Raw genomic sequence first — 14,650 nt, 5'->3', positions numbered from 1 at the left:
CATAAGAAGAAAGACAGTGAGTTGGACAATCACAGAATTGAGAAGCACCTGGAATCCCTGGTTGCACTGATAAGGAAATGAAATTTCCTACGTAGGATGAGTTAAGGACAACAGAGAAAGATGGTTGTCTTCACTGACTTGCAGAAACCAACTCATAGTCAAGAAAAATGGGGCTGGTGGTAGTGGTTACAGGAGGGCAGGGCAGTGAGGGAGTGCAGTGGAGAGGAAAATATGTTCTGAGGTAAAGAACAAAAGAAATAAACAGAACTGGACTCTGATAAAATGAAAGTATGTAATGTCCCTGACAGGGAAATCAAAACAGAAAGCTCTAAGGTATTACCAGAAGTCTGGACAGTAATGCATTTAAAAACTGAGAAGTTTAACAAAGAGGTAGAAAATATTTCAAGGTATCAAACAGAAATCAAAGAAGTGAAAAATACAGGAAGCTACATCAAAAATTAAATAGAGGGACCGAACAGTAAACTGGATCAAGCAGAATAAAGGATAAGCAAAATTAAGCCAAGTCTTTGAAAATAATCAAATTGGAGGATAAAAATGAAAGAGAAAAATAAGGAATCATGAAGACAGCATAAGGAACTTATGGAACATTATGAAGCAGGATGATAACATATGGAATACTATAAGGAGATAATAATGATAAAAGGAGAGAAAAATAACTGACATATATTTTTAAACAAATAAATAAAAGGCTGGGCACAGTGGGTCATGCCTGTAATCCCAGCACTTTGGAGGCCGAGGCAGGTGGATCACCTGATGTCAGGAGTTTGAGACCAGCCTGGCCAATATGCAAAACCCCATCTTTACAAAAATAAAAATACAAAAAAATTAGCCAGGCTTGGTGGTGGGGGCCTGTAATCCCAACTACTTGGGAGACTGAGCAAGGAGAATCTCTTGAACCCAGAAAGCGGAGGTGGCAGTGGACTGAAATCACTCCACTGCACTCCAGCCTGGGTGTCAGATCAAGACTCAATCTCAATAAATAAATAGATAGTAAAATAAAAAACAATAACGAAAGGATAAAGATGGCTGCTAGAGTCACTGAAGACTCACCTTGTCCACAAAGAAGGTCTGAAATAGCAAATAGATAACTATGCATTGAATCGAACATCTTTGGGAGAAGGCTGGAATTCAGCAGGGAAGTGACAGTGACTCTCTAAGACATGAAAACTGGGGATGGCAGCAGTATAGAGAGGGACCAAAGCAGCCAGCTGGAATTGGCTCAAAACCAAAAGGAATTCTCCACTGTGGGAGAAAGAAAGACTGCATTTGCAATCCTAGATGCAGAGAATCCCCTTGGCCCTGTGAGGACAGATCCTAAGCCTAATAACAGAGACCTGCCTGACGTCCACACAACTACACTGTCCCAGAGAGGGAACTCATGCAAGACCCGGTGCCCACAGAGGCCCACCCTGCTGGTGCATGGCCCAGTATTGAGGGTGATATTGAGCAAAAGGCTGTCTAGAACCTACATCAGAGAGCCTTTTGCCCAGGGGTCCAATATCCCCTGCATCTCCGTGTCTTGGGTCCTTGCTGACATGCCCTCTTGTCCACCCAGAGGCCTCAGTGTCATGATGTCAGCTGGATGCAGCAATGTGGTTGGGTCCATGGTGATGGAAATCATGCAGCATCCTATACCCCAGGGAATAGGCATTCCAGCATATTTGAGTGGCTGCGTCAAAACATAGGGAACAAAAATGTGTGATCCATAGAACGTGGGAAATACCTGCCTGAGGATGCTGCCACTGAGGCACCAACTTCTCCCAGCCCCTCAGCAGCAAGACAACCACACACCTGTAAGTGTCATGTCAGGTCCCACAACCCAGATCCTAAGCTGCTACTGCCAATATAGCCACCCACATGTACCACATGAGGGACTCAAGACTGACCCACCTAGCCCACAGGCACCACACTGGGGCCCTTCCATGCTGCCTGGGACCCCTAGGACTTACCTGTCCAATGCAGCTGCCACAGCTGCTGTCTACTGATGCTACCCAGGAGCCTGAATACAGGCCTACTCAGTACACCAAACCCCAGCAAAGTCTCACCCCAGGCTCTTAAAACAACTAAAATCTAAGCCATTAAGGCACCCTCATACATTTCTGATATTGAGTATAGCTAAAGAAATAATACGAAGACCATGCTATGCTACTTACCCAGAAGCAAAGTCAAAGTACTCTGCCCAATCAACATTATAGATGCATGTACAGGGAATAGTTTTGTTCCAGTGCTTTCTTTTAAGCTTCAGATAATATTCTCACATGGATATGCAGATTAACAGCCAGCAGAAGGCCTGCATGAACTCTTTTGCCTCTCTGGGGTTTTCTTTTTGTGTAAGTCCTCTTTTATTTTCTGGCATTTTGTTCTACAGATTCTAGCTTTCTTGATATAGTTGAACTCTGATTTTAGTCTTCTCAATCTAGTAACACCCCCTAAGTTATGGCCTGGTGATAAGTAGGGTTCATCCTTACACTGTCTTTGTTCATCTTTTCTGAGAAATTATTGTTTGGTGCTGCCTGGAATTGAATGTAGAAAAATCTTTGGTTCATATTTCTGTCTAGTTTTGTGGTTATTTAACCTGGGAGGGTAAATATGGTCCCTGCTACCTCATTATGGTTAGGGGCGTAACAGGACCATGGAAGGCTTTCAGAAGTCATTTTTGAAGACACAACGCAAATTCGGTTTGCATAATGAACTTAGATAAAATACAGCCAAGAAAATAATGTTAGCAGAAACCAGGCCTTACAGAAATCTTTTTAGCGAGTTATTATGCTCAGACTTAAAAGAATAAAAAAAACCAGACCAACGGGTAAAATATACATATTCTAACTTTAATCTGGGGTATTAGAATTATTCAGACAGTTGTGCAAATAAAATTCAAATATAGTTGAAACATTTGTATAAGCTGGTCTATATACTACTTTCTGTGTGGAAAGAATACATACGGATACAAATTTCAGAAAGAACATAAAAACTGGCATACTATGTTTTCAAAAAAAACCAGCATATTATGTTTTCAAAAAAACCCACATTTATTTTACTGTATTTTCCTTTTTTGGAAACAGATTCTGGATCTCTGGCCCACGCTGGAGTGCAATGGCGCAATTTTGGCTCTCTGAAACCTCCGCCTCCTGGAGGTGATCCTCCTGCCTCCCGAGTAGCCGGGACTACAGGCATACGCCACCAGACCTGCCAAAGTTGTTTGGTATTGTTAGTAAAGATGGGCTTTCGCCATGTTAGCCAGGCTGGTCTCATTTGAGATACACGTGCCTCAGCCTCCTAAAGTGCTAGGATTACAGGCGTGAGCCACCTTGCCTGGCAAAAAAATAAAAATAAAAATAAAATAAAGATAAAAATAAAATAATAATAATAATAATAATCCAGCAGGGCGCGGTGGCTCATGCCTGTAATCCCTGTCCTTTGGGAGGCCGAGGCGGGCGGATCACGAGGTCAGGAGATCGAGACCATCCTGGCTAACACGGTGAAACCCCGTCTATACTTAAAAAAAAAAAATACAAAAAATTAGCCAGGCGTAGTGGCGTGCGCCAGCAGTCCCAGCTAGTCGGGAGGCTGAGGCGGCAGAATAGCATGAACCTGGGAGGCGGAGCTTGCAGTGAGCAGAGGCATGCCACTGCATTCCAGCCTGAGCAACAGAGTGATACTCCGTCTCAAAAACAAAAAAACAAAACAACAAAAAAAACTACCAAAAAAAAAAAAAAAAAAGAAAAATGTGGATTTTTTTTTTCTTTTCTTTTCTTTTTTTTTTTTTTTTTCTTTTGAGACGGAGTCTGGCTCTGTCGCTCAGCCTGGAGTGCAGTGGCGTGTCTCAGCTCACTGCAAGCTCCGCCTCCCGGGTTCATGCCATTCTCCTGCCTCAGCTGCTCGAGTAGCTGGGAGTACAGGTGCCTGCCACCAGCCCAGCTAATTTTTTGTATTTTTAGTGGAGACGGGGTTTCACCGTGTTAGCCAGGATGGTCTCGATCTCCTGACCTTGTGATCTGCCCGCCTCGGCCTCCTAAAGTGTTGGGATTACCGGCGTGACCCACTGTGCCTGGCCAGAAAAAAATCCACATTTAAAAAATATAGAATACAAATTATTATGGACATTACCATTTTTATATCAGTCACTTGAGAAATGGCACTTTTCTCAAATGAGTATTGTATATTGGAATCAATTTTGCAAAATCAGAAAATGTGATTTATTTCTGGGGATGCTAGGCATATTAGACATTTTTTCCAGTTGCATTTAGGTATGGGGAAAAAAGAGCTAGACAGAGAAATTCTGTGACTTAATCCAGCTAGTCTATGACTACACAGGACAAACCTATAGTCTGATACAATTGCATTGACTTGGTAGAGTAAGGTAGACCATGCCTGTGGGGCAACTAAAGTAATAAAAGGAGGTACTGTACGATTTATGGGAGAGGTGGTGAGTAGGTATTTAAACACAGCAGAGTTTCAATAGGTTCAAGGTAAAGGACGCCTATGTATTAAAGGTCAAAACATCATGTTTAGACTGTGAGAGAACCCAGTGTCTTTATTCCTTGTAGATCACAAGTTGACATTTGTGTGGAATTTTGAGTGCAAATGCCTGTTATTTGAAGCTATGCACCTAGGCTGGAAAACAGTTTTTCTTCTATGGAAAGTGACAAATCAGCCGGGCAAGAGTGCTAAGTTTTATCTTCACCGATAACATTTCAAACAGCAAATACTCTGTTTATAATTTTAGAACATAAAGTTTCTCAGTGAGTAAGAAAGCCGAAGTCATTCAGAGATGATAATTTTTGTGACCCTTTATAGCTGTACCCAGACTTTGGCAGAAATATTTATTTCCATTAAGTCGGGAGCTGGCTTTTCGGTTCTCCCCTCAACGTGATGAATTGAGGTGGTGGATTTTAACCTTTTCATCTTTGTTTTATTTTCTAACCTGTTAGAATTTACTTATCTCAGCATTATTGCTATTTCCAGTAACAAAGCTGAACTTGCTTGTTTATACTATATACAATTTAAAGTAAACTACCACGTTAGCCTCTATATTTGAAAGTAAAACTAAGTAAAATTTGGTCATTTTTATTACCGTGAGTGTCCATATACTTTTACTACATTTGTATGCAATTTAATGTAACTAGTTTAAATTTAACATTAGTATTAATGATATCCACTGTGGGTGCTCTTTTTTCTATCGGCTCTTTTTTGTGTGCACATTTAGGTGATTTCTTACATTTTGCTATTAAATATTGTTTCAGATAACTTTCTTCTGCACTCCTAGTTTCCTAATGTACAAGGAAATTTGTCAGTAGGGATTTTATATTGATAGTCATGCAGCAACACACATGTACACTTGTACATGTTTAATATAAACAGACCAGTTAGATAATATAAAGCGCAAAATAAAACAAGTAAATATTGCCCAGTTCTCAAACGATGAAGAAACTAGCCTTCATGGCAAAATCTTTAGCACGAAGTCATTTGCCACTCTACAAAATAAACAGAGGTCGGGAGCTGTGGCTCAAGCTTGTAATCCAGCATTTTTGGAGGCCAAGAAATTCAGATCACTTTAGGCTAGGACTTCAAGACCAGTCTGGCCAACACCAGGAAACCTGATCTCTATGAAAAATATGAAAATTAGCCAGACATGGTGGTGTACGCCTATAGTACCTTACAGTTACTTTGGAGGCCGAGGCATGAGAATCGTTTGAACCTGGTAGGCTGAGTCTGAAGTGACCTGAGATTGCACCATGCACCCTAGCATAGGTGACAGAGCGAGACTTCAACTCAAAAATAAATATAAATATAAACAAATATATAAATAATAGACATGGTATCCTTCACTTCAGGCAGTTATCATTTTTTTCTTCTTTTTTTTTAATTTTGAGACAGTGTCTCACTCTGTTGTCCACACTGGATTGCTTTGGCATCATCATAGCTCACTGCAGGCTTGAACTCCTGAGTTCAAATGCTTGGCCTCCCATTTGAGCCTCCTCAGTAGCTGGAATTACAGGCACACACAACCATGTGCAGTGTGTGTGTGTGTGTGTGTGTGTTTTGTTTGTGAACTATTCTTTTGAATCACATCTTTTTATAACCCAATCTTTTTATTCATTATTTTAGTTAAACTCTGTTTCAACTGCAATGTGCTTTTATATTAACTTTTTTTTCACAGGGTAGCATGGGATACACTTTCCGAGCTCTGGTATATGTAAAGTTGTCTTTCTACTAATTTTCCATGAGTTTGAAAATTTACGTGTATGAAATTTTTGGTCATGCCATATGAATTCTTTTTACCAAGAATTCTTTAGACATTGCCATATATTCTGGAGTTTTGTTTATAGAAGAGACATGTGTGGCCAATTTGACCAGTGACTTCTATTCAGGAAAATTCTTAATTTATGTTTATGCTATAAGATTTTTTTAACACATTAAATTAAAAAATTTGACCAGGATAAGCTCAATGCCTCTCTCAGTTTGTATAGGTGAGGTTAACACAAGACCATTGTGTACTGTGTTGTTTGTTTATGGCATTAATATACCTTGCTGAATGATCACTACCTGTTGACCTGCCTCCTTGCCTCCTCATAGGCTCCACTTACCTCTTTAGCCACATTAAAAAGTTGGCTTTTTAAATGCTGTATCTTTAGCATGTTGCACAGTGCTTGATACAGCATAACTCTCAATAAATATTTGTTGAGGGAATGAGTAAGCCAGCAAGTATAAACCTTTCATAAAATTCCAGAATTTGACACCATTTCTGTAAGTGAAGTCGAATGCAATCCATGGGATAGACATGTTTATGAATGAGAATTAAGAGTCTATATATTTTTAAATAGAAAATTGAGAGAAGATTAAAATATTGGTACAAAAATTAAAACATTATTTGATAATGTTATTTAATATTTGATAACACATTATCTATATTATGAATGAATTCAAGTTACCTTATCTTTAGTGCATCTATTGACTCTTGCATGGATGTTTACTTCATTACGGTAACTTTCAGTGATTTCTGATGCTATGATTATTTCTAGTAGGCATTGTCTTTCCTGGGAGCACCCTGCGTTTTGGATGCTAGTACACACATGCATTTCCATTTTACCTCTGAGAGGAGGCAAAATTTACTGTCAATACAGTAGATGCCCATCTATAAAGTAAAAATTCTAATGGAGTTGCATGTGGGTAGGCTTGTGTTCCAATTGCTGATAGGCCACTCTCTTCCCCACCACCCCGGAGTGATATGCAGAAGGAACGCTGCCAACCATTCTCCAGGAGAAAAATCAGATCATGTCTCATAGTTTCTGAGTTTATATGGAGGTTTTGTGCCTTTCAAGACATGAGAACCTCATCTTGCACCATTAGTTGAGAATCAGAACTCATGATCTCACCCTGCAAAATGAAAATCTGTGCTGGAAAACAGTAAGCCCACCTTGGCTTCAGCTCTAGCTTACTGCATGAGCTTTGTGATCCTGCTTCATATCCCGCATGTGATTTTTTTTGAGTTCCACCTTTATATTTAATAGTTTTCATTTACACAGCATTCCTGTGTGTTTGGAGGAGAAGTTCACTCTGCTATGTCGACTGGACATCTTTATATTTCCAGTGTCTTCCCAAATCTGTGGGCCATGCTTGCATCTCCTGAATTAATCATTTAATAAATGAATAAAGCAGGTGCGACTACCCTATGAGAGTCACAATGTTGGTGTTCATTGAGAGGGTGGACAATAGACCCCATGACATTTCAGGAAAAATGATAAGAAATAATGGGAAATGGGAGAGTATAAAATAGCAGACAACCCAACACTAAGGAATAATTTCTGTTACTTGCATAAACTGCCTGAGGCCTGATTTCTGTAGGACAGTATTTTTAAAGTCCCCATAATGACCCTAGTTTTGCCATGCTGATGCTTTACTTATTTTATTAAGGTTCTGTAGCTCTTCACTAAATACACGCTATAAAACTTCTGCTCAAACAAAGGAGGATGTCATCAAAAATAAATAGTTTGGAATAGTGGAAATACCATCTACTGCAAATTTCTGGTAGCAAATTCCTTTCTGTAACACCCCTGACTTGACAAATTTGGATCATATTACAGGTGATTTTTTTTTGACAATAATGTTAGTTTTCTCCCAGATAGAAACTTTGTGTTGCCTGCTTTCCAGACATACCCCAACCCCAGCTAATTCTTATGAAAATGTCTTCCATTATTCAAAGAAAAAAAAAATTGAAAAAATTTCTCTGTGTATTTATTTTCCATTTGATAAAAAGAATAGTTTAACTAACTAGGACATGCATTCCATTCTCTTAGCCCCTGTGGTAACAGATAGTAACAGAGTTTTTTCTTTTTCTTCTTCTTTCATCTGTATTTGCTAAATATATTATGAACGGCAGGATAGTACTTGCTAGGAAAGTAGATTATAAAGATAAATGTAAGAAGCATTACGTTATTTCCCCAACCAGTTGCAAATGTGCGTTTATTATATTATATCCCATAAATATCAGGACAACTACACCAGCTGCTCTGTACTCTCAGAGGGCATGGTATTTCTTCTTATTTTGGCAACAGCCACCACTTCCAAAGGAAAAAAAATCTCTCACAAGCCTGAATTAAACAGGTGGAGCTTTCACCAGTCCTACAGATAAAACAGTAGGACCTGATAGCTCTCTGCTGACAGTGTGTTTCCATTAAAAAAAAAAGAAAGTAAAAAAGATATGAAATTCAGACATTAAAAACAGTTCTTTGGATATTAAAAATTGTAATTTTCTGATATTTTATAACAGTTATATATATTTCTCTTGGCAATGTTTCACTCAGTGAGAGTGACAACAAAGAGAGTTAACACCCCAGATAGACTGAATAACACATGGCTTACTCACTTCCATTGGTATGAATACTTTCTTTTGTGTTACTGCATTTTTGTACAATGCAATCAGACAAAAGGAAAATGTGTTATTGTGTTGTACAACATGCACTGTAGAAAATGCATTGTACAAAATTGTGTTATTGCATTGTACAAAATGTGCAACGTGTTAGCTTATGTTAAAATCAGAGGCTGGGTGCGATGGCTCATGCCTGTAATCCCAGCACTTTGGGAGGCCAAGACAGGTGGATCACGAGGTCAGGAGATCAAGATCATCCTGGCTAACACGGTGAAACCCCGTCTCCACTAAAACTACAAAAAAAAAAAAATAGCCGGGTGTGGTGGCAGGCACCTGTAGTCCCAGCTGCTAGGGAGTCTGAGGCAGGAGAATGGTGTGAACCCAGGAGGCGGAGCTTGCAGTGAGCCAAGATCGCACCACTGCACTCCAGCCTGGGTGACAGAGCGGGACTCTGTCTCAAAAATAAATAAACTAATAAAAATAAACATAAAATAAAATCAGAAACCCCATTCAAGTGCCATAAAAATATGAGATGTATATTATTCTTTATTTTATGGGTTTTATTATATTCTATCAAATGGTAAGATTACACATTTTCTTTCTCTTAATAAAATAACACTACACTTTCAAAAAAGGCTGAGAAGTGCTGTCCTGAGCATCTTGATTTCAACATTCTTGAATACTGTCCATAAATTACTAAGTTACTGTTTGATACTGGAAAAAACATCCCTACACAACTACCACTAAGATATGGAAGTACATCATTCCAAGCTTGACAAACTACAGTATGATGATTGCCTAAAGGGGATTCCAAATCTTATGGCAATTTTTTCTCAATTCACACATACTCACTTTAACACTCTGTTGAATTTCCCTCGTGAACTCACACATGCACACACACCCCACCCCACCCATGTCCTACAGTGGAAACACTGCTGACTCTGTTCTGGTGAAGGGCGCAGAAATCAAAATCCATTGAGTCCCCATCAATAATCTCATAGGTTCATACCTCTAGACTCCTCTGAAACAGGCAGAAGAAGCTTCAGAAAAGTTTTCAGAAAAAAATCTAGATTCACAATTTAGCCCTGATACTTAGGAGAGTTGATGCTGGTTGTTACTTATTTTTCAACCTTTGTTTCGTCGTTTGTAAAACGACTAAAATAACCTGTGCCATTTCTTACCCAATGATTTTTTATCATAATCAGGTGAGATAACATATGTAGAAATCTGGAAATTGTTTATGAAATGTAATATTCCTATTTTTAGAAGGTTTATAGTTAGTACATGTAGCAAACGCGCTTGCCTTTCTGTGTGCCAGTCAATGTTCTAAGTGGCCTAAGTTTTTTAACTCATTTCATCATCCCAATCTCTGTATGAAGTCTAAATGATTATCAGCACCATTTGATATACCAGTAAACTGAGACACTATGAGACAAAGTAATTCATTTATGCGTTAATACCTACACTATACCAATGTTTTATGGATGTCACTGACTGAACTCATGCCATGCATATCTATCCCATACCTAGGCTATAAGACCAGTAGACTGGTATATAATGTGGTTTAACTATACAATGTAAGAGAGAGATTCCACACAGAAGCCCTCAAAATACAGTGCGAGCCAATCCTAGGAAAAAGTTAGAAGAGAAAAATCAAAGTATCTAAATTATCTAAACGGAAACAACGGACTTTGGCCATGGAAGAACAGAGGATTATGATAGTGACCTGTTCCTGAACAGCTCTTAACTGCAGAAGGTTGGGCCCTTCAATTGTTCTTTGTTAGTATCATTATCATAGTACTCGAAAGCAATAGCAGAAATTAAAAATGTGGCAATGAAGTATTTGAGATATGATACCTCCTATTGGTGAGAGTAAAAGGATGAAATGAAAGTGTTATTAAATTAAAATGAGCAAGGGAAAGATGGGAATACAAAGAAATAAGTGTCACCAAATTGTTTAGATAATGCAGAAAGAGCTCAAAGAATGCATCAGAGTAACTCTATCCGTAGTGTACTATTTGACTAGAACACCACATCCTTCATGTACTCTTTGACTAGAACACCATGTCCTTAAGAACTAACCTTAAGTAGGCATGGCACCAACGATACCTTTGTGGGGAAAGCAGAAATTCAGATGCATTTACAGAGTGTGTTATGGCGTATATGTGACTTCCCTTCAGCTACTCGATCTCTCTCTGTTTTGTTATGACTACTTTTTTAGAGATTTTAATCTTGCTTCCCAGTTACCAATTACCTAATCACATAACATTAATTTCTTAGCATGCACTTTAGCTGCCAGAAGAAGAGATGACTTTGGTAAGGGGGCATAGCTAGTTTATTTGTTGATCTATCACTGAGTAACAAATTATAGCAAAACTTAGTGGCTTCAAAAAACACCATTAATTACTTCACAGTTTCTGTGGGTCTGGAAACTGGGCATAGTTATCAGGGTATGTCTGGCTCAAGGCTTCTCACGAAACTGCAGTCAAGGTGTTAGCCAGGATTTCAGTCATTTTAAAACACATGTGGGGAAAGATGTGCTTCCAAGCTCGTTCACCTGGCTGTTGGCAGGATTTAGTTCTTCATGGGCTGCTGCGCTAAGGACTTGAGTTCCTAACTGGCTATTAGCTAAAGGTGGTCTCTACCGTATTGACACATGAGTGTGCTCATAATGCAGCTCAAACATGACAGCCAGCTGTCTAGGAAACAGCTTGGACAGGGGATGGGTGAGGTGTTCCACATTTGGGCTTCCACAGGTGAGATGTATAGGCAAGGTACTTTAAAATATTAGTAAAATGAATCATTAAGGGGACCATGCATGGTGGCTTATTCCTGTAATTCCAGCACTTTGAGAGGTCAGGGCAGGAAGATTGCTTGAGGCCAGGAGTCTGAGAGTAGCTTGGGCAACATAGCAAGACCCATCTCTACAACAAGTACGTAAATAAAAATTTCATTTGGCATGGTAGCATGCATCTGTTTTTCCAGCCACTTGGGAGGCTGAGATGGGAGGACCACTTGAGCCCAGGATTTCAGGACTGCAGGGAGCTATAATCATGCCACTGCACTCCAGCCTGGACAACAGCGTGAGAACCTATATCAGGAAACAACATAGTTAAGAGAAAACAGTGAAAGATGATGGCTGAACTAAAGTGTAAGAGAAGGTCTTTGGAAACTAGGAACTTCAGGAACTGGTATGATTTGGTGGGCCTTTGTGTGAATGTTAAACTCACTGTAATCATTGACAGGAATTGGAATGGACAGGAAGATTGTGAGAATAAAGGGAGTGGGTCATAAATTTAGGAAAGTGTACTTGATATGATATTAGAAAGGGACGAAGAAGAATCTGTGACCTCGCTCAGGCCTTGCAGTATATGGAGTGTGAGGGAATAAGTGGCCTCTCCTTGGGTGGGCTGCAAGAGAAGTAGTGACCTCTATGGAGAACCTGTGTTATTTCAGGCACAAAGGTTGAAGGTTATTAATTGAGGTTGTTGTGCATACAGAGGAGTTTATTTGCCATAAAGTATTAACTCTAGAATTGCCCAAATTCCCTTTCAAACTGGCCTACTTGATAAAATGTTATAGTAAATCTCCTTCCTTCCATGTGTTGCTTGTCCTGTATCGCATATACCCCACTAAACAAACCTCAGACTTGTTTTCTGGGCAACTCAAGCTAGGACAAAGGGAAAGGGAAGCGTAATACTATTTATTCAAAGGGGTTTATGTGTGCATATGTATAATATACATGATGTATATTATGTATATTATACATATACATAGTATATGTATTGGCATATATGTATTGGCATAATATATCCTTGGCATTCATCAGCTTGTAGCTATACCGCTTCAGCATCTACCTCTGTCTTCACATGGCTGTCTTCCCTCTGTGTCTCTGTGTCTCTAAAACTCTCTATCCTTATAACAATATAAGACATTGAATTTAGGGTATACCATAATGTAATGTGACTTACCTTAACTTGATTATATTTGAAAAGTTTATATTTCCAAATAAGGTTATAGTCACAGGTCCTCAGGGTTATTTCAACATAGTTTTTTGTTTTTTTTTTTTTGTTTTTTTAGAGAATTCAACCAACTACAGGGTTATTACCAAATAATTATTAGAATGTTGACACTAATTCCTACAAACCAAAGCTTCTACTAAAATAAAGAAAGATGAGGTAGCAAGGTAACAAATGTATTACTCAGGTAAACCACCAAATCTCAGGACCTGGAAGCAGTCATGAGATTTGGTAGTTTACCTAAGTAAATAATTCCAAAGAAATTATCTCCCTAACCACAATTAAGATGGTTCTTAGATTAGGCATATCCTTAGTCCTGCTAATGTTGTAGCTTTGCTTTGCTATTCACACTTCTGGAGCTGAAAATACCTTAGGGGCCTCATCCATTAAGGAAAACAAAAATAAAAGGGGCAGTACATCAGAGTTGTTTTCCTACTTCAAATGACTGGATTCTGAGCTTCCCCGCTATCTCAACGTTCTCTGAGGTGGAGTGCTTAGCATCCAAACAACGTGCAAATGCATACTGGGAAACACTAAGCTTCTTTCTTACCAGAAACACCACTGAGAAGAAAACAAGGGAGTTTCTCTATGTTGGCAAACGATTTTGCTACAAAGGATACGTGAAAGCAAAGAGATGTTGCTCCACTCTCACAGACTTCAGCACTACAAGTATGTGCTGACATGCAGACCAGCTCTCAGTTCTAAAACATAGAACCCTCTAGCAGACAGGCTATCTAGAAAAAGTACAAAAGTTGAAAGTCTTTTCACGTGGCCTCTTAAACACACATGAGTTTTGTTGTTGTTTGTTTCTTTTGTTTTGTTTTGAGACGGAGTCTCGCTCTGTCGCCCAGGCTGGAGAGCAGTGGCTCCACCTCGGCTCACTGCAAGCTCCGCCTCCCGAGTTCGCGCCACTGTCCTGCCACAGCCTCCCCGAGTAGCTGGGACTACAGGCACCGGCCACCATGCCCTGCAAATTTTTTGTATTTTTAGTAGAGACGGGGTTTCACCGCGTTAGCCAGGATGGTCTTGGTCTACAGAACTCTTGATCCGCCCACCTCGGCCTCCCAAAGTGCTGGGATTACAGGCGTGAGCCACCCTGCCAGGCCCTGTTGTTTGTTGCTTCAGGCCAACATGTTTTATTAATTTTACAACACTCTGTGCAATAATTTTTAAGGACGTATGAATATGGAGTTTACTTAGTGTAATATTTGTGTTACACCCACAAAAAATTCCAAATTGCAGATGTTTTATACCTTAAAGCTCTTTGTCACTTTTGATAATGGTTTTCCAACTTTATATATAATATTTTATTATTGTTAAAAAATTCAGCCTGATTAATTTTAGGGTCAAGAATCTATTATTAGAATTTGAATCATTTATATAAATATATGACACTATCCTGCTGTATTTTTCTTTACCACATTCTATGGACTCACTTTATTCTCTTCATTTGCATTACTGTAGTCTTCCTCTAAAGCCAAGTAAGTTTACAAATGGATCAAAAATTATTTTTGGTTTTTATTTCCTCACAGGTGTTTTTAGCTCCGTGCTTTCATCATCAGTTCATTTTGCCAACAAGCATTATCACAAACTATGTAATTGTCACATTCAACTTTATGCCATTTTTCAACTGACTCCTCATCTTCTAATACACAGAACTGAAATTCATATTTGCTTCAAACTCTGCTACTGGTCCCCCAATACTCACCGTTATTTAATTAGTTATTAATATTTTTGGTTT

This window comes from Homo sapiens, chromosome Y, assembly GCF_000001405.40.
Source record: "Homo sapiens chromosome Y, GRCh38.p14 Primary Assembly".
NCBI lineage: Eukaryota > Metazoa > Chordata > Mammalia > Primates > Hominidae > Homo > Homo sapiens.
This window is presented reverse-complemented; position numbering follows the sequence as displayed.